Here is a 1,971-nt window from a genome sequence, read left to right as displayed (position 1 = left end):
AAGAGTGAGTACAGCTGAAGGAGCCAGGGAGCAGAAAGTATATGCGTCAGGTGTGAGGAAGAAAATAGATTTTGGAAGTTATGAGAAATGTAGAGAGTGAGTTGAGCATAGTTTGTGATTTTTAGGGCCTCTAAAAGCATTAGGGTGATGGCAACTGCTGCACGGAGACATGATGGCCAGAGCAGATCCTGAACTAACATGTAAGACTTGTCTGGAGTTTGAATAGGTAAAATGGGAGAATTGTAAGGAGAGTTTACAGGTTTTACAAGCCCATGCTGTAGCAGGGGAGTGATAACAGGCACCAAATGTCACACACGTCCATGTGAAGAGACCACCAAACAGACACTGCATGAGCAATAAGGCTGTTTATTTCACCTGGGTGCAGGCGGGCTGAGTCTGAAAAGAAAGTCAGTGAAGGGAGATAGGGGTGGGGCCGTTTTATAGGATTTGAGTAGGTAGTGGAAAAGTATAGTCAAAGAGGATTGTTCTCTGGCGGGCAGGGGCGGGGGTCACAAGGTGCTCAGTGGGGGAGCTTCTGAGCCAGGAGAAGGAATTTCACAAAGTAATGTCATCAGTTAAGGCAGGAACCAGCCATTTTCACTTCTTCTGTGATTCTTCACTTGCTTCAGGCCACCTGGATGTATACGTGCAGGTCACAGGGGATATGATGGCTTAGCTTGGGCTCAGAGGCCTGACAGGCATGGTTTACTGATAGCTCTGCCAGACGACATGCACTGGACCACCATTCAGCCAGTGGTTGGCTATCTTTTGACTGAGACTGGACATGGGCATTCTACCCAACGGGCCAAACTAAATGCAGTGGTGATGGCCATGCAGGCTACCTCTATCGCGTATCTTGCTATATTTTCAGTGACTTATGGGCCATTGCCAAAAGCCTGGCCATCTGATCAGGACAATGGCAATGGAAGGATTGGACTGTTAGAGGATATCCATGTGAGAACAAGGACTAAGAAAAACAGCTTGTTGTCTGAAAAAGACAAATATATGTCAATCATATGGGTGCTGAGGCAACTATAGCCACACTTGAGAGGAATTTATGCCATCCTTTTACATAGCCCATGGGATTTTACTTGGACCAAGGAATATTTTTTACTATTCAAGCAACTAGATAATGGGTACACATTAGTGAAAAAAGATGGGCTTTTTAAGTACATTGTCATCCTCAGGCCAATAGAGTTATTGAATAATGGAACTCACAAAGCAACTGAAGAAAGAACATCAAGATGTCCTGCTAGTGAGGGGGTAGCCCATCTGACTAGGGCAATAGGGACACTAAACACTATGCACCAATGCAAAGGAAACAGCACTGCAGTGCATATTGAGGGACACTGAGCTTGGTTGGGTTGGAGGTGGATGAGAAACCCACCTGACTAGGCTGTCTGTGCCTGTAAAGTCTCAGTCTGTGTTCTCAACCATTCTTTTTCCTTTTCCCCTATAGAGTACATGTCCTGGGGATGAATTGCAGTTCAGGGTGCCATAGTACCCCAGAGAGGCCACCCTGTCTCTAATCTGGAGTTTATACTTCCCTTGGGTACCTCCCCTATAAGGGGATTCCACAGGGGTCGGGGACAGGACTAAGGAATGACAGACTGCTAGAATCCCTCTAATGATGCTGGATGCCTCTGATCCTTCCATTTGGGTGGATGATGTTATGAGATATGCCAGCTTTGTACTGGAGTGGATGATTGAGGCAGAAAGGTTTGAGTCAAGCAACAAGGGCAATGGATGTCTGCAGAAGTAGCTTGGGACTAAAACAGACAGACCGGGTTGCTATACCAACTCAGCCTAATTCTTATTCAATAGGTAGAGAACATCTGAGACCCTGGAAAGGGTGAGAGGTGGGCATTAAACTGTCAGTCTGCTTTTCCACATGGATGGGGCATTATAGGCCTGTGAGCATAATGCCTTAGTGGCCTCTTCCAAAGTGCCATGGTTACACCATGGGTAACC

This window comes from Homo sapiens, chromosome 9 (genome assembly GCF_000001405.40).
Source record: "Homo sapiens chromosome 9, GRCh38.p14 Primary Assembly".
Taxonomy (NCBI): Eukaryota; Metazoa; Chordata; class Mammalia; order Primates; family Hominidae; genus Homo; species Homo sapiens.
Note: the sequence above shows the minus strand (reverse complement) of the source record.